General features: G+C 61.5%; 2 protein-coding genes across 53 annotated transcripts in view, besides 3 other annotated features; one reads left to right on the forward strand and one right to left on the reverse strand.

The window, feature by feature from the left end:
* Positions 1-1,325, forward strand: part of TMEM94 (transmembrane protein 94) — a 43,818-nt gene extending 42,493 nt beyond the window's left edge. For all 50 annotated transcript variants that reach the window (XM_047437170.1, NM_001438841.1, XM_047437179.1 and 47 more), the window contains one exon: positions 135-1,325. In XM_047437170.1, the coding sequence (XP_047293126.1) occupies positions 135-207 (73 nt within the window). In that variant the 3' untranslated portion in view covers positions 208-1,325. The remainder of the gene's footprint in view (positions 1-134) is intronic.
* Positions 1,134-16,410, reverse strand: CASKIN2 (CASK interacting protein 2). 3 transcript variants are annotated; one of them, NM_020753.5, is made up of 20 exons: positions 16,274-16,410; positions 14,584-15,081; positions 9,107-9,158; positions 8,457-8,554; positions 7,857-8,002; positions 7,672-7,767; positions 7,456-7,586; positions 7,178-7,286; positions 6,694-6,802; positions 6,430-6,524; positions 5,685-5,946; positions 5,445-5,566; positions 5,293-5,353; positions 5,088-5,179; positions 4,725-4,835; positions 4,532-4,633; positions 4,262-4,400; positions 2,652-4,127; positions 2,341-2,563; positions 1,134-2,043 (listed from the first exon to the last, which is right to left on the reverse strand). In NM_020753.5, exons 2-20 carry the CDS (start codon positions 14,675-14,677, stop codon positions 1,953-1,955), a joined length of 3,609 nt encoding a protein of 1,202 aa, NP_065804.2. In that variant the 5' UTR covers positions 14,678-15,081; positions 16,274-16,410; the 3' UTR covers positions 1,134-1,952. The 3 variants fall into 3 exon arrangements, with proteins under 3 accessions (NP_065804.2, XP_047292415.1, NP_001136115.1); XM_047436459.1 differs by having other exon boundaries at positions 14,584-15,123; NM_001142643.3 differs by lacking the exons at positions 14,584-15,081; positions 16,274-16,410 and adding an exon at positions 10,598-10,763.
* Positions 5,433-5,572: an enhancer, noted in NCBI's record as "active region_12766". NCBI's record gives its function as "activates an Ori minimal core promoter by ATAC-STARR-seq in GM12878 lymphoblastoid cells {active_cell/tissue: GM12878}" and the evidence as "EXISTENCE:reporter gene assay evidence [ECO:0000049][PMID:35858748]".
* Positions 15,520-16,086: an enhancer, noted in NCBI's record as "H3K27ac-H3K4me1 hESC enhancer chr17:73510728-73511294 (GRCh37/hg19 assembly coordinates)". NCBI's record gives its function as "activates a minimal SCP1, AML or CMV promoter by ChIP-STARR-seq in naive H9 embryonic stem cells {active_cell/tissue: H9 hESC(naive)}" and the evidence as "EXISTENCE:reporter gene assay evidence [ECO:0000049][PMID:30033119]".
* Positions 16,260-16,869: a silencer, noted in NCBI's record as "silent region_8969". NCBI's record gives its function as "represses an Ori minimal core promoter by ATAC-STARR-seq in GM12878 lymphoblastoid cells {active_cell/tissue: GM12878}" and the evidence as "EXISTENCE:reporter gene assay evidence [ECO:0000049][PMID:35858748]".

A 17,180-nucleotide genomic window follows, 5' to 3' on the forward strand; every position in this document is an offset into this window, starting at 1 on the left:
CTAAACCTGTTACTCCCTTGGCGACACTCCCCCACCTTTCCGCTGCCCATCCCTCCCTCCTCCTCTGGTGTCCTGCCCCGGCCCCTGGTCTAAGGATCTTTGCCAACCTGTACTTTAATCTCCTGCCCCACCAGGGTCCGAGTCCGCTACCAGAAGCGACAGAAGCTGCAGTTTGAAACTAAGCTGGGCATGAACTCTCCCTTCTGAGCCACTGGCTGTGGTGGCTGTAGTTGCCCCCGTCCCTGGGGCTAAAGCCAGACCCATTTCTGAACAGGGGAGTTTGTATCATGAATGTTTCCAGGTTTGCTCCTGCACCCGTGGCACTGGAAACCCAGCTCCCCGTGTCAGACCCCGCTGTCTTCCTGAGCCCTGGGGCTCACTGTGGAGGAGCTGACGGCCTGGGCCCTTGGCCAGTCCTGGCTCTTCCCTGGGCCTCACCAGGGACACTCTTGAATGTATGGCCTCAGGCGCTCCCTAGAGGGGCCCTAAACCCCCTCACCTGTGAGCTACCCCCTTTAGGGATCCCTTGCCCCCTTGGAGATCCCTTGCCCCCCAGTGCCTCTGCTCGTGGGTCCCTGGACACGGCCTTGAAGCCAACCTTCTTTGGAGGAGCAACAGCAGCAGCCTTGGCCGACGCGTCCAACTCCCAAGGCTGCCGTGGAGGGCAGGGGGGTGGTGCTTGCCTGGATGTGGCCCCGAGTGCCTCCCCTCCCTCCCTCTGTGGGGGAGTCTCCCGCCTGAACCTGAAGATGGAGCAGGGCCCCCGCTTCGCCCTGGAGCCTCTTCCTGTGCCTGGCTCAAGCTGGCTGCCTGTCAGTCTTGGGGAATCTGGCCCAGGTCTCCTCAGCCTCTGCCCCAGTTCTGGGAGAAGTTTCTACTGGTGTATATTTTTTACTGGAAATGAGCCTTTTAGGAATGAATGTAGACTGGTTTGTATTAAAATGTGTCAATTGCTAAGAAATACCTGTGGCTGGTCTGTAAGGCCACTCCAGGGTCTGCCCACCCCCGGCGGTGGCTGGCAAAGGGAGGCCTAAACCTTCCTCCATCTACGCGGGTGGGTCCCTCAGGTCTGGCTCAGGCGAGACCCCTAGGGTCAGGGGTCCCCATGTCACAGAGGCAAACACACAGCCCAGTCACGTGGAATGGTGTTTTCATTGGTGTTAGTTGGGGGAAGAGGTTAATGGTTACAGAGCCAGGGCCTGGGCCAATGGGGTCAGGCTCTCCCTGCCCTCAGGTGGGCAGTCGGGGCTCCTGCTGTGGTCCGAAGCCCCTCCCCCATTGTGTCCTCTCAGGCAGTTGATAGAATAAATTCCATTTAAAATATATGCATTTCTCTCTGCTTAGAAAATAACATTTACAATTGAAAAGTTAGGACTTGTGGGATCTGTTAACCCCACTGCCTCCCACCCCTGCTAGCCCTGCCTCAGTGAGGGAAGGCGGGGGCAGGAGCTGCCTGGGCACCACCGCTGTGTATTTACATGTCCTCTGTACACCTACGGAGAGGGGGCCCGGCCAGACACACGCCTCCTCCAGCCTCTCAGGGCCTGGGCAGGATGGTGGGTGGCAAGAGGCATTCCCTTGGCACAACTTGGGACATGGGCTGGGGGGTACAGAGAAAGCACCCCCAAAGCCCCACCCCTACTTCCTCCCTGAGGAGAGAGCTCTTACCAGGGTCCCTGTCCAGGAGCAGGGCTGTCCTGCTCAATCGATCAAACCCTGGGAGGGGCTTTGCTGAGATGCAGCGGAGGTCCCTCGCTAGTCAGGTTCTAAGGTGGGCTGCCCCACAAGAGCTGTGGTGCCCACAGCCGCGGGCTGAGTGGGAAGGGGCCCTGCTAGGAGGGGCACTTCAGCCTGACCAGCCCTTGGCCCGTCCCTAGGGTGGCAGGGGCCTCTTCTGTGCTGGGGCAAAGGCAGTGGACTTCGGCAGGTCACAGTGGGCACTGCTGGAGGGCTCAGTCCAGCATGGCGTCCAGCTGGTCAGCCAGGGCGTCGAACATGGTGCTGATGTCATCCAGAATGTGCTTGGTGGAGGCGCTGGGGGTGCTGCAGCAAGGGGAAGGATGCGGTCAGATCAGCCAGTGGCCTGCACCCCACTGGCCCTGGGGCAGGGAGCTGTCATAGCTCCCAGAGGCTCAGGGAGGCAAGGGACCGGCCAGGCTCCTGTGCCTCTTAAATGGTAGCCACCAGGATTCCCTGATCTAGGTGATTTCAACACCTGGCCTCTTATCCCGTTAGTGCCTGCAATGTCCCCCTCCAACATCCCCATGATCCCTGGGCAGAGGATGCAGGGAGCACTGTTTCTCTGCAGCCTTCTCTCCCTCCCCATCCGGCCCCCCTCACCCCTCTTGCTCCTTGGTGCCAATGCTCTTCTCTGCGGCTCTCAGTGCAGCTGCCAGGGACGAGCTGGTCTGCTCCAGTCTCTGCTGGGCCTGGCCTGGGCCCACAGTCCCAGTGCTCTCAGGCCGTGGAGGAGGCACTGGGCGGGGGCCGAGCCGGGGCGCTAGCTTAGGGCCAGAAAATGCCAGCTGGGTGCAGGCCACCGACACAGGCTTGGGGGCTGTTCCTGCAGAGACAAAAAGGTTGGCTTGGGACTTGGCTGGGTCAGACACAACCCTGCCAGCAGTGACTCTCCCACAGGCCTCCCCTCTTACCTGCTCCGGGCACCTTGAGGAGGGCAGCAGGGGCGGCCGGGGGTTCTGTCTCCCCATTCCACCGACTAGCTGCTGAGCTTTCCAGACCTGGCCCTGGGCAGGGCGGCACTGGAGGCTGCATGGCGGGGCTGGGAGCAAGGGGGGTTGGAACTCCTTGGGCTGGAAGGCTGCTGGGCTCGGGCTGGGGAAGGCTAGAAGCTGGAGGAGACTCGCCAGGAGTTGGGGAAGGCAGTGGGGCAGCGGGGCCAGGCGTGGCACTGGCCACTCCGAAGGCCAGCAGTGCGGTCTGCAGTGGCTCTCTCTCCCGGCACTTGGGCCTCCGCTTAACAGTGTCTGATTCCGTGAGGTTGAAATCGAGGCCGGGGGGCACGGGTGTCTCTCGGGGCGGGGGGCCAGCGGGCTTCGGGCGCTGTTTGATGGTCAGGTTCCCTTCCTCTGCAAACGGCAGCCCTTCCCCAGAGCTGCCCCGAGATGGGGGCGTCCCCTCAGGGCCTGGCTCCTCCTCCTCCGTGTCTGACGCGGGCCCAGCCGGGGCAGGTGGGCCAGGGGGCTCTGAGGGGCCAGCAGGTTCACTCAGTGTTCGCCTTCGGGGCCCTGTGGCCCCTTCCTTGGGCCCTGGGCTCTCATCTAGTGGAGGTGGCTCCGGGCTGGGGCCAGAGACGGAGCTGAGGCGCTTGGGGGGCGGGGGCGGGGGGCCTTTGCGCCGGGCCCGCAGGGCAAAGGACTGGCTGCGAGGAGTCCCCCGAGCTGGGGTTGGGGTCACACTAGGACTGGTCCGGACAAGGGCACTGCGTCCTGGCCGCCGGGTAAGGGTAGCATAACTGCCTAGGGTGCTGCCCACTGGCCCTTCGGCCTCCCCCTCAGCATCCCCCTCTGTGGGGCCAGGGCGGCTTAGGCTGTGGGACCGGCGCTTAGGTCGAGGCGGGTCTGGGGGAGTGGCAGGGGGCCCGGCCAAGTAGGAGAAGGCCCAGGGTGCGCCAGGAGGTGGCCCTGGGGCCGGGCTAGAGGGTGAGCCCTGGGGGTACATAAAAACATAGGGTGGGGGTCCTTGGCCAGGAAGTGAAGAACAAAGCTTAGGGGGCCGCTCTGTGCCCTCTGGGAGGTTCCTCTCCTGGGGGGGGCTGGGATCTCCACCGCTGGGCTGTGGGGCAGGCTGTTCCTGTGAGTGGCCAGACCCCCGTGAGCGTGCCCCGATGCTCTCCTGGCTGGGAGAGCGGGCAGGTGGGAGGGGGAGTGGTTCAGGGCCACCCCCTGCCATGGCCGCCTGTAGCTCTGGGCTTAGTTCGCTGCCCTGGAAGGTGAGGAGCCGTGGGCCAGCTGTAGCTGGGCCTTCTCCGTTCTCCAGTCCCTCGATGGCCATCAGCTCCGGACCCTTGGCCAGCCGGCGCCCGCCTTCGCTGAGGGCCTCCCCCTGCAGCAGGCCCCGCCGAAGCTCCGCCAGCCGCTTCACCCCCAGCATGAGCTTCTTCTGATGCCCTGAGATGGGGGACGGAAGTGGCAAGGTTAGCTGGGGCTGGGGTTGTCCTGGTCACCGCTGGGCCCCATACTGTCTTCTCTTGGAGACCCCGGAGGCAGGTGGGGGCCCAGCCAGGCCTCAGGACAGTCCTTACCGAGCTTGTTGACCCCAATCTCCTGCAGCTCCTCCCAGGTGAGGTCGGCCACCAGCCCCATGGAGTCGTAGCCGCTGCTCACCAGCTGCTTGTGGTACTGTGGCAGCCCCAGTGCACACAGCCACTCCAGCAGGTCCGTCTGGAAGAGCACCGTCCTCAGAACAACTCCCAGCCAGCCTCCGCCCCCAGCCAGAGGAGAAAAGGCACCGCAAAGCCACAGCTGAGGGTGACAGCACGTGCCCCACTCCCCAGCCACCCTTGATGGCTCACTGGGATGTAGCTGGGCAGCCACTCGGCGATGCTGAGCTGAGCGATCTCTGAGGCGATCTTCTTCCTGTGCCCAGGCTTGGTCACCCCGATGGCCGTCAGGTCCTGCCACACAAAGTCTGGCCATCAGGCCCCTCCCCCGCCTGCTGGGCCCTCCCCCGCCCGCTGGGTGCTGCTTCCCGGCTGCAGCACCCACCTCAGGTGTCATGCGGCTGATGGTAGGCACATCATAGCCGGCCTGCAGAAAGTGGGCAGTGTAGCCCTCCAGCTGGAACTCGCTTAGCCAGTTATGAATGGCCTGCGCGTCCTGCGGGGTGGGGGAAGGGGGCAGAATTAGCAGGAGCTGGACCAAGGCCCTAGCCCCCACCAGGGGCTCAGGACCTGCCTGAGCGGGGCTTCAGTCCATACAGAGGCTCTTGCCTCTACCCTGCCCTACCCACCCCGAGGCCCACAGTGCACCCCGTGGAGGTCACACCTTCCCCCCCGAGGCCCACGGTGCACCCCGTGGAGGTCACACCTTCCCCCCCGAGGCCCACGGTGCACCCCGTGGAGGTCACACCTTCCCCTCCAGCAGCTGTTCTGGCCGCACGTCCTGGGTGAAGATCTGCTCCCCAGAGCGGCAGTTGGCCAGAGGGCGGTGGCTCAGGTTGTCTTCAAGGAGAGAGAAAAATGGAATGGAAAGGTGGCAGGAGGAAGGGGTGCCCACCCTCGGCCTCCTTACTTGCACCTCTCCTAGCCAACCCAGGTCCCCTGACCCTTCCTACCTGCCAGGGACGGCGGGTGGAGTCCTGGCAGCACCTGGTCCTCTCCAGCAGAGGGCAGTGGCTGGAGGAGACAGGGCAGGAGCCAACTCAGCATTTGGGGAACTGGCAGTGGGGAGTGAGCCCTGACCTGGTCCGTGACCCCATCATCCTACCTGGGCGTTCTCAATCAGGAGGCCAGGGCCATGGCCATTAGTGCCCTCAGAGCTCTGCCCGCTGCCGGCACTGCGGATGCTGCCCACGCTGCCCTCACTGCCCACACTATTCCTGTCACCTGCTGTGGGGGGCAGAAGCCAAGGGGTCAGAGTCCCAAGTGTCGCTCTGACAGCTGTCTGGCAGCTTGCCCAGGCCACACGCCCACACAGTGCCCAGCACTGCCCCCTGGGAGGATGTACCTGGGCTGTCTGGGCTGAGGCCCACCCGAGGAAGCTGGCTGTAGGTAAGAGGGTGCGGGGGTTCTTCGGCAGGAGGCTGCGGTGTCCGGGAGAAGCCTGGGCGCAGGGGGGTGGGTGCGGAGGGGAGGCGGGCTGCAGGGATGCCCACCCGCTTGCTGACCACCTCGACAATGCCCGGGGGGAAGTAGCCTATGCGGTCTGTGCCCCTCTGGCTCTCGTGGATGTGGCCCTTCCAGCGGCCGTCGGGATGCTGTTCTAGCACCTGCGGCCAGGGGTGGGGGGCGGGGACGGTCACTCCCAGCACCAGGCAAGTGGCAAACGGTTGTCCCTGCAGCTGCGGTCCGGCAACCCTGGTCCAGCTCTTTCCCTACCCCTAAGGAGCTGGCCTCTGATGCCCACACTGGCCCAAGTTCCGCCCCTGCTGCCAGCAGCCAGCTCAATCTCCCCTGTGCCTCCAGGGCGAGCCCCAGTGGCAGCCCGTGGTCAAATCACAGCTCCACTACTTGCTAGCTGTGTGACCTTGGGCAAGTCACTTGAATTTCTCTTGATTTTATTTTGTTTAATTCTCAATTTTGTCATCTGTAAAGAAGAAATGCTAACAGCACTGCCTTCCCTGGCTTTAAGAAGAATTAAATGAGGGTGCATATAGAGACCTCAGAGCAGAACGTGGTAACATAGCAGGTGCCCAAATAAGTAACAGCAATCATTTGTATTTGCAAAGGAATGCCTGCTTGGGGTCCCTCACCGTGATGACATCCCCTGCCCGGACATTGAGAGCAGTGGGATCGTGGAGGTTCCAGAAATCCTTGAGCGCTCGGACCTTCAGGATCCCTGAGGCCTCTAAGAAAACGGGGTGGGGGACAGGTGTCATCTAAGGGTCCTTAGGGCATCTTCCCACCCCTCATGCCCTTGACAACCCTCCCCCAGGGACGTCCACTCCCCCTCCACATCCTGGTACCACTTGAGCGGCCCCAGGCCCCCTGGGCAGGGTATCCTCCCCCGCACTCACCCCGCAGTAGCTGCTTGATTTCCCGGCTGGCCTGGGAGGTGGTGAACTGATTCACTATGTCCAGCGCCGTCTGGTTATACGTATTCCGGATGTTCACGTCCACACCTCCCTGGGTGCACAGTGTCACATGAGCACACGCTAAGCACTTTGACACCCCTCACCCGATTCTCTCAGCTACCCGGGACATAGGTACTATTACCATTTTCCGATTTTACAGATGAGGACATAGAGGCTCAGGGACTCAGTCAAGGACAAGCTCAAGTTCACTCAGCTAGTAAGAGGCAGATCTGGGGTGCCAATCAGGTTGGTCTGCCCCCGATCCATCTGCACCGCCTCGGCACCATTCAGAAGGAAGTCAGGCCTCTTTCCTGACGCCCATGCAAAAACCACGCTGGAGTCCTCCGTCCCGTACCTCCCCAGCCAGTCAGGGGCACAGGGCAGAGGCTCCATGGACACCTGCGAGGGAGCAGGGGCCCATACCCACCTCCAGAAGCAGCCGCACCACCTCGGTCTTGCCATACAGTGCGGCCTCGTGGAGCGCCGTACCCGTCTTGGTCTGGCGGTTGATCTCGATCCCAGCTCTCAGGAGCTGCCTGCAGTGGACGGGGGGAGTCACGGGGGAGGTGGCGTAGGAGGGGGTGCTGACTGCTGGGGGCCTGGGAGATGGAGAGCCCGGGTGAAAAGGGCAGTGGGGGAGAGCACTGAGGGGCACCGATGGTCCCGCAGGCAGGTGATGAGGAAGCGAGGGGACCCCAAGGGTACCTGATGACTTCTCTGTGGCCATTCTTGGCAGCCAAGTGCAGGGGCGTGGTGTAGTTGGGGTCACACGGGTCTTTGGCCTCACCCTCCAGCAGTGCCACACATAAGTGGCTGTTCAGAAGCAGCTGGGCCACCTGCAGCACCCAGTGCCCAGTTAGAGCCTCCTCCTGAGACCCTGTAGATGTCCAGGACCCAGCACCCCAAGGCTGCAGGCCTCACCTTGAGTCGGCCAAATTCACAGGCCAGGTCCAGGGGCGTCTTCTTGGCCTTGTTGACCAGGCATGGGTTGGACTGATGCTGGAGGAGCATTTCTGACTGGGGTTGGGGGAGCCGAGTGAGGGGGCCTGGCCTGTCCGGCACCCCACCCTGCCCTGCGCCACGCCCCTGTGGGCAGCCTCACGTACCACCTCATAATGTCCATACTGTGCAGCCAGGTGCAGGGGGATCTGTCCGTCCAGCGAGGCGGCATTGACAGCCGCAGAGGCGCGCAGCAGCAGCCTCACAGGCTCCAGCCGGCCCTGCCAGGCTGCGTAGTGCAGCGGGCGCATGCCTGGCAGGAGGAAAGGGTTTCTGAGGGAGGTCCTGGGACGGCGTTGGGGGTGGAGAGGAACTGAGCAGAGTACGGAGCCAGCCCAGCTGGGAGGGCAGAGAGCCCACGGGGATGCAATGCTGGCTCTATCCAGGTGTGCTTAGGAAGAGGTTCGGCTCGACAGGGCTGAAGCCAGAGTCCTGCTGTGCCCACTGTGGATCATGATGACCCCAGGACAGCAACAACACCTCGCTGAGCCTCAACCTACTCATCTGAATAATGGGATGTTAGTACCACTCGCCTATGCAAGAAGGCTGTGAAGAGTAAACGGGGAAAAGCCACTTGCAAGCCCAGAGACGCTGTGCTAGCATCTATTAGCATTGCTACGTTGTCATAGGAGCAAGCTCTGGTCCCAGGGTCTGGGTAGGGCCCCTACCTGCCCAGGGTGGGGGTCGGGGGCACATGGGGGTCTCACCATTGCTGTCCTTGATGTCAACAGTGGCCTGAGCCTCTAGCAGCAAGGCTATGAGCTCCAGGCTGCCCCCCAAAGCAGCGTGGTGGAGGGCAGAGAATCTGATGTGGGAGGACACAAAGTTAGGGGTGTTGGTGGGCAGCCCCCACCCCCAAATCCTGGTCTTCCATACCCGAACCTATCCTGGGGGCTGGCAGGGATGGGTTACTGGCCCCCCCAACCCCAGCAGCCCTGCCGTGGGAGCGCAGTGGCTGAGCCACAGCATGAAAGGGCTCAGTGTCTGCACTGAGAGGCCCGTTTGTCTCGCCCCCCCGCCTCCCAGCTGGCCCAGGGGAGGGGGCCGTGGGAGCAGGAGCCTGAGGGCTCCTACCCTCCAGGGAGAAAAGGGGGCCCCAAAGGAATCTGACCCCAGGAGGCCCTGCGGAGAGGCACCAGGGCCCCTCCCCTCACTCAGGGCTAACTCCACGGGCGGGCGGGTGCCCCCTCCCTCCAGCCCAGGGACAGGGCCCACAGCTCGCAGCAAATACACTTCCAGGGCCAAGTCTGAGAGGGAAAGGGACCCTGGGCCTCAGGATCTTTCCCTCCAGCCCCACCCCTGGGGCTCTACTGCCCCCACCCAGCAGCTCTGCAGAGGGACAGGGGCTCCCACTCACCCATCAGCATCCTGGTAGTTCACGTTGAGCCTCTTTGTGGAGCCCAGGAGCTCTAGGGGTCAGGATAGGAGGTGTCAGGGCCATCAGATGACTGCCCTCACTCAGCATCCCTCCCCCCACCTGTCACAGCCCGGCTGACCTCTTGGCGTGCAGGAAAGCACCTGCCCCATGGCCTTCCGCCTGTCCCGTCCCTGTGGCTCCCCACCCTGGCCCACCGGCCCAGCAGCATGAGGGCAGTGAGGGCAGGATGCTGCTGCGGCAGTGGGCTGGCTTCCCCTCGCCCCAGTCCCGCTTGTTTATAGAGCCAAAGAGGGCGGGGGGTGGGACTGGCACGATGTGCCCTCAGTGGACAGGCCCACGGTGTGCATGGTTAGCATTCCTGCCTGAATGGGCCAGGCAGCGAGTCATGTTGTCCTACTGGGCCGAGGGGTGGGGAGAGAGAAGGAAAGAGGCACTAGGTATTCAAGGGCAGGCCACGATGCCCAGTCCTGGGGCATCCCAGAGGAAGGTGACATTAGACAGACCTCTACCCAACACTGGCTCTGCCAGGCACCAGCTGTGTGACTGTGACAAGTCATTTAACCTCCCATGCTCAGTGTCCTCAACTGTAAAATGAGCTGATCAGAACCTGCTCACGGGGGCTGTGAGTACAGTGCCTGACCTTGTCATATGCAAAGACAGGAGCTCTCAACATCTAGCCCTCCTGACATGTGGGCAAATACCATCCCGATGTTAGGGCGATGGTCCTCCAACAAGAGCTGGCACAGGGCCCATACTGTCCCCACTGGGATCTCCATGGGTGCTCAGACTGCCCGGGGAGTCACTGCTACTGCTGACTCCACACCTCCAGGGTCTTGGCTGAGATGTCCATGCCCTGGACAAGGACTCTGCAGGTTGGTGGCAAGAGGAGCTGGGGCCACCCCCTCTCGGGGCAGGGTTCAGGCAGGTGTGCTCCCTGCGAGAGCCAGGGAACTGGTGGGAGTGGCTCTTGAAGTGCTGGGGAGGGAAGGAAGGCCTGTCATGGGTGGCCCCTGCCTCCTGCTAGAACCCACCCTGCAGGGAAGGAGTGGGCCTGGCTTGGCCAGGCTGGGCAGAGTGCCAAGTGTGCTGGCCCAGGCCTGCCCCCCAGGCTCTGGTGGACCCCTGAATACCCCAGTAGCCTGGGGAAGACAGGGCTTCATTCCAACAGGGAGGGGAGGGACCAACCTGGCAGTAGGGAACATGGCACAGGGAGGGAGGGGACAGCTACATTGAGGGCCAAACTGAAGGACACTGTGCCACAAAGGTAAAGACAGAGCCAGGGAGGGACAAAGCGCTAAAGGGGTTGTGGCCACTGGGAAGAAACACAGACCTCCATTTTCCTCCAGTCCCCTTGGAAAGTCCTTGTCATACAGAACCATTTGAGGCAGTAGAAAGAAGAGGGGCTCTAGAAGCGGAAGTGCACAGTTCAAATGCTCACTCTGGCTGTGTGACCCTGGCCTGCCACGGTACCTCTCTGAGCCCCAGTGGAGACAATGCGGTCAGCAGGGAAGAGACACAGAGCACCCTTCAAGCTGCCCACTCTTCCATTAGCCCTCCTCTTCCAACAGCCTGGACAGTTTGGGATGAGGCAGCTGGGTGGCGGGATGCAGTCCCTCCCGAGAGGAGCAGGACAATGTGACAGGCAGGACAGGAACAGGGCAAGGGCCAGGCTGGGTGGCTCCGTTCTTTTCAGAACAATAGCCGGAAAGGCGGTGGGGAAGAGGCTCAGAGTGACCGGGCTGGGGACCCTGGCAGGAGGGCAGAGGGTCCAGGTTCCTGGCAGTGACTCCAGGCACTTCCCCTGCGGTACAACCTTCTTCCCGGGCCTGGCGCTGGGGGTGGAAGGGTGGCTCCTGATTTAGGCTCCCGGGCAGAGGATGTGAGCTCAGCCGGCCGCCCCAGCACACCCCATTTCCTCTGGCCAAAGAAGGAGATTGTTCAGAAAAGGGAGTGGTGCGGCGAGGGGCGGGGAGCAGGGCCAGGGCAACTGTACCCCTCTTCTCTCAGCCACCTGCTCCCTGAAGAGGACCCGGGTGGGGGCAGGGAATTGGCCTGATATCAAATGCAGGAGGCTGAGGGAGCATCTCCCACCTCCCTGTTCTCTCTCTGGATAGCTATAAAGCGCCAGCTAAACCCCAGAAGAAAAAAGGGGAGTCCTGACGCCTCCCTTTTAGCAGTTTCCCTTGCCTTCTTACGATATGGAGCAAGAGTCCCCAGCCTCACTTCTGAGAACTGCAGTAAAATCATGGGGAGAACTTTCTGATACACAGAGTCCCAGGCCCTCTGTGATGAGTCTGATTTTGAGGGGAGTCCAAGGAGTCTACACTTTTATTTTTACTTATTTATTACTTTTTGAGACAGGGTCTTGCTCTGCTGCCCAGGTTGGAGTGTAGTGGCACGATCTCGGCTCACTGCAGCCTTGACCTCCCCGACTCAAGCGATCCTCCCACCTCAGCCTCCTGAATAGGCGGGACTACAGGCATGTGCCACCATGCCCAGATCATTTCTTAATTTTTTTGTAGAGATGGCATCTTACTATGTTGCCCAGGCCAGTCTCAAACTCCTAGGCTAACTAGGAGTCCTGGGGGACTCCTTCCTGTGCACAGGGCCAACAGGACTATAGGTGTGTGCCATCATGGCTGGCCCAGTCTGCACTTTTGAAACAATCCCTAGGCCAGCATGGTGGCATTGCCTGTAGTACCAGCCACTCAGGAGGCTGAGGTGGGAAGATGAGGCAGGAGGATCACTAGAGCCCAGGAGTTCAAGGCTGGGCAACATAGCGAGACCCCATCTCTTTCCCTGTCCTTTTTTTTTTTTTTTTTTTGAGACAGACTCTTGCTCTGTTGCCCAGGCTGGAGTGCAGTGGTACAATCTCAGCTCACTGCAACCTCTGCCTCCCAGGTTCAAGCGATCCTCCTGCCTCATCCTCCTGAGTAGCTGGGACTACAGGCACTTGCCACCACACTGAGCTAATTTTTGTATTTTTAGTAGAGACGGGGCTTCACCACGTTGCCCAGGCTGGTCTCGAACTCCTGACGTCAAGTGATCTGCCCACCTCGGCCTCCCAAAGTGAGACCCTATCTCTTTAAAAAGAAAAGAACAGAACAATCCCTAGGTAATACTGATGGGCAGCTGAGTGCAGAGCACAGGGGACAGGGTGCAGCTTTGCCTCTGCTCTGCCATGCTATGGCTGTGTGACTTTAGGCAAGTCACTAACCCTCTCTGAGCATCACTTTCCTTATCTACAGAACGGATATTGAAATACCTATCTCACAGGCAAGTGAGGAAATTATAATATTTCATACACTATAAGGTTTGCAAATGTCACCTTGTGATCTCACTTTTGTCACCAGCCTCTCCAGCTTCTCAGAGGACTGGGAGGGGAGGCACAGTGCCAGGGCCTCATAAGGAATCCCAGGCCCCAGTCATGCTGTGCCTGAGCCTACAGCCTGCGCAGGGTGAATTCTCCACTTTGGGACTGAGGGAAGGGACCTCCTTCCCCACAGACGCTTCCCACTGGGCACAAGGGAACTTCTCGGAGCCTAAGAGCCCAGCTCTGCAGTTCCCGCCACTGGCCTCCAAACCCCTCCCGCCTGCCCTCCTGAGGGCCTCACTTTGAGGACCCAGAGCGGTGAGGCCAGCAGCAGCTTGACCAAGGCCCCACTGGGCAGGTTGCCAAAAACAACACAGAGGTGACAGAAGAGGGGAGTGGCTGCACTGCTGGACCTTAGGGCCCTCCCCTGGGACCTCCTTAGCACCTCCCCAGTGGCACCCACCCTGTGTCCACTTCCCTAGGCACAGAGACCACCCCACAGCTCCACCTCTCCAGGCCCTGCGTCTCCTGCCCCAGTGTGCTAGTGGATGCATGAGGTTAAGGCCCTTCCTCTGGCACCCATACCCCAGGTGTTCAGGTAGCCTGGGGGACTCCTTCCTGTGCACAGGACCGAGGTGTATCTTGGGGCTAGAGCCCCTGAACTCCAGAGGAGACCTTCCCATCCAGGGAACTCCTCCTGCCTCAGTCTGGTGGCAGGAACCACCTCCTGCCTATGCTGATCTGGGATCTCAAGGTGACAAGTCCAGCGGCCTCCTGGGACAGCCCAGAGAGCCCTCCCTGAAGCCCAGAGGTCTATTCTCCCTGTGGGGGGTCGCACCACAGAGGTACCCAAGACATGGGGCTCAGGTGTGGCCGCTTGTGCATGGATCCCCCACAGCCCGGTCAGGTCTCGAGGCTAGGTGAAAATCTCCAGTAAATGAGCTCTGGCCACACCCCACCAGGACACACATGTCAGGGGAAGAGAAACTTTAGCAACTTGTTAGAGAGTGTTGAACTTTTTTTAAGCAGTAGAATTCCCTTTTTAAAAGCTATCTCGTGGCCTGGTGCGGTGGCTCATGCCTGCAATCCTAGCACTTTGGGAGGCTGAAGCGGGTGGATCACCTGAGGTCAGGAGTTCGAGACCAGCCTGACCTAGATGGTGAAACCCCGTCTCTAGTAAAAATTAGCCAGGCGTTGTGTCAGGCACCTGTAATCCCAGCTACTCGGGAGGCTGAGGCAGAAGAATAGCTTGAACCCGGGAGGCAGAGGCTGCAGTGCGCTGAGATCATGCCACTGCACTCCAGGCCGGGTGAGAAAGCAAGACTCCGTCTCAAAAAAAAAAAACAGCTATCTTATAGATATCCTCTTAAGACACGAACATAGAGGTGCTCTGGTTGAAATGTGTGCGTTTGAGGTTGGGGGTAGGGATGAAGTTCTATCTATTCAGTCTTCTCTAACCCACTGTCAGAAATCTCATGGCTCCAAAGAACACATCAGAAAGACCATCTGCTAGAAGGCAACTCCACGAAGACAGGAATTTGGGTCTGTTTTGTTCACTACTATGATCCAGTGCTTAGAACAGAGCCTGAGCCAGGCACAGTGACTCACGCCTGTAATCCTAGTACTAGGAGGCCTACCTAGGTGGGTGGATCACTTGAGGTCTGGAGTTCGAGACCAGTCTGGTCAACATGGTGAAACCCCCATCTCTACCAAAAATATAAAAAAAAATTAGCCGGGCATGGTGGCACACACCTGTAATCCCAGCTACTAGGGAGGCTGAGGCAGGAGAATGGCTTGAACCCAGAAGGCGGAGGTTCCCGTGAGCCGAGATCCTGCCACTGTACTCCAGCCTGGGTGACAAGCTATAGGCACTCAATAACAATGTGAATGAACGTACTTCAACCCTCTAATTTTGCAGGCCAGGAAACTGCAGCCCAGAGAGGTTAAGTGACTTGCCTAAGGACACACAGCAAGGGGGACCCAACTTTCTCTCTGGCTCTCTCACACAGAGGCACTTCTTACTGAGAACAAGACAGTCCACCCTCCTCAAATATGCAGATCACAGTGACCCACCCCCACCCACCAAGCCTCTGTGAACTGAGCGCTCGGCCTCAGCGGGATGCTCGTCCCACCCGGTACTCACTTGTCTTTGTGGCCTTGACCTTCGCCACCAGTTTCTGCACACCGGTCACATCTCCATTCTTGACGGCGAGGATCAGGTCCTGTTCACGACCCATACTGGCTCCTGGGCTGAGCTCTACACTCAGGAGTCCAGGGCAAAGGCAGGCAACGGGTCCAAGCTGGGGCGTCAGGGCGCCATGCCACAGCCCCTTGGAGGGCTCCCGGTTCCGGGGGAGCAAGTCAGGTGTCCCAGGCAGTGGGCTCCTCGTCAGGTACTGAGGGATACTCCCAAAGGTGCTCCGTGAACTGCCACCACACGAAGGAAAGCTAATCTTTGAGGGGGTGAAGGCTACATGGAAATCTGGATGGATATCAGCTTGTGGCTTCCGACAGCTCCAGGATGGGCTGGGACTGGGCACACCAATCTTCCCGGCTTGGCTGTGGAACACCAGTGCCCACCCAGAGAGCAGCCAGCATTCCCTTGGGCCTCAGGCAGCAGCGGTGCACTGGTCTCAGGGCTCTGGAAAAAGCACGGGGCCTCTGTCGAATGCTGGGCCACAGCCTGCAAGGGTCCCAGAAGTGGAGTGCAGAGGATGAGCAGGACAAGACCTCCAGGGAGCCCCCAAGCCACCCTGGCTCCCCTCGGAGTCGATGGTGATGCTGAGCCACTGAAAGTGGGGAGGAAGCTGCTATGCATGAGAGGAGTATTGGTGGGGGGGAGGTGGCATTCTGGGAGGGGGAGGCTGAGTCACTGGGGCCCCAGGGCACCTGGCAGTACCTCAACCTTGGGCAGGAGGGGCCCTGGCAGCATGACATACTGGGGCAGGCCGGGCCAGCAGCCTGTTCTCCACAGCCCGAGGCTCCGACACCCACAGACAACTGGCGGGCCAGGAGGTGGGGCCGGGAGGGTCAGGCACAGGCAGGCGGGCAGGGGTCACTCCCTGTCAAAGGCACCAGCCCCCAGATTCCTCCCTACGGAGGCTTCAAGGCTTCGCTTTAATGGCTGGATGCCCTAGTCCTAGGACTCTTTGTGAACGGAGAGCATGAAGTGCTTCTGGCCCCCCATTTCTGGGGGCTCTGCCTGCTAGAGAGGGAAGCTGCACAGCACCTGTTGCTGACCCGCCCTCGCCCCTTGTGTCGGGTGGAGGAGCAGCTGGGCAGAGAACAGAGAGAGCTGGGGCACTGCTGACAAACGGGGCTCCCAAGCCCCCCAAGCCTGAACCTGAAGCCCAGACCCTGGACTCCACCGCAGAGAAGCTTACGTCAGTTTCTCGGTGGCAGCGAATTTACTGCCAGAGTCTTGTGGCATGAGATCCGCGCAGGCCTGGGGCCCTGGCCGGGAACCCCTCACTCCCCAAACGTCCCAAGCCCAACCCAGGGGCACTCCCACGCGGAGCCCGCGGCCGACACGGGCGGAGGGCGCCCTTGGCAGTGCCTGGGGTCGGGCTGGCTCCCCCGCCCCCCGGAATGTCCCTCCAGCGCCTCGCAACCCCCCAGCCCAGCCCAGCCCAGCCCAGGCCCACCGGGGAACAAAGCGGCGGGAGAAGCCGGGCGGGCCAAGCGCCCGAGGTATAAACGCGGAGGATGGAAAAAGGGGCGCGAGGAGGACGGAAGGAGCGGGGAGATGGAGGTGCCCGCCGACCCCGCAAGAAAAGTTAGTTTGCGCCCGCCCCCAGGGGCGCTGACCCCCAGCGCGGGCCCCGCAGCCTCACCTCTCCCGGCCGCCCGCCGGGGTCCGGCTGGCCCTGCTCGGTCCCTGGCACTCAGGACGGTGGCTCCCACTCCCCCCTGCCCCCCTTTCTCCTTCTCCTTTTCCAAGGCCGGCTCGGCGCCTCCCGCAGGAAATCCCGCCCCTCCCCCCTCCCTCCCGCCGGATCGGGAACGGAGGGACCGTCCCGGCCGCGCAGTCAGGCTGTCAGTCAGCACCGGCGGCTCCGCCCCCATCCGCGCCAGATCCCGCCCCAACTCGTGCCCGCCCGGACCGGGGGCGCTGACCGGATCAGCGCATGCGCCCAGGTGAAACGGAGGGGCGGGGGGCGCGGGGGCAGAGGTGACCTGGGGCTCTGGACTTAGACCCAAGGGCTAGACACCCCGGGTCTGACTGGTGGGAGAGAAGACGTAATGTGAAGGGGGTTGGCAACCAAGACGCGGGACCCCACTTGCAGTACCCCCCGTCTGCGGCCGGCGTCGCCCACCCGCAGCCGCCGGCCGGGCAATGGCACCACCTAGCGGACGGCACCAGTGCGGGGACCCCAGCCTCGAGGAGGCGCTCGTGCCGGGCGGAGGTGGCGCTTCAGCACCGTCGTGGGCCGGACAGCGCCTCCCGCCCCCGGCCCTCGAAACCTGGCTTCGGAGCCCAGCCGTAGGGACCGGACGGAAGACACCGAAGGAATGGCGAACCTCCCCGGACCGCTCCTGACAGTTCCCGGGTGGCCTTCGGCCTGCAAAGTCGGAATTTGCACACCCTCCGCTCGTCCTTCCCTGAGCCCTTCTGCCCTCCTTGCCCAGCCCGGGCGGTGGGGACTAAGCAGCGCGAGGCTGCAGAGGGGCGGTCACAAGTGTGACCATTCGCACTGCACTCCAGACGCCGGCTCCTCAGGCTTTACTGGAGAGAAGCCC

The sequence above is a fragment of the Homo sapiens genome, chromosome 17, assembly GCF_000001405.40.
Source record: "Homo sapiens chromosome 17, GRCh38.p14 Primary Assembly".
Taxonomy (NCBI): Eukaryota; Metazoa; Chordata; class Mammalia; order Primates; family Hominidae; genus Homo; species Homo sapiens.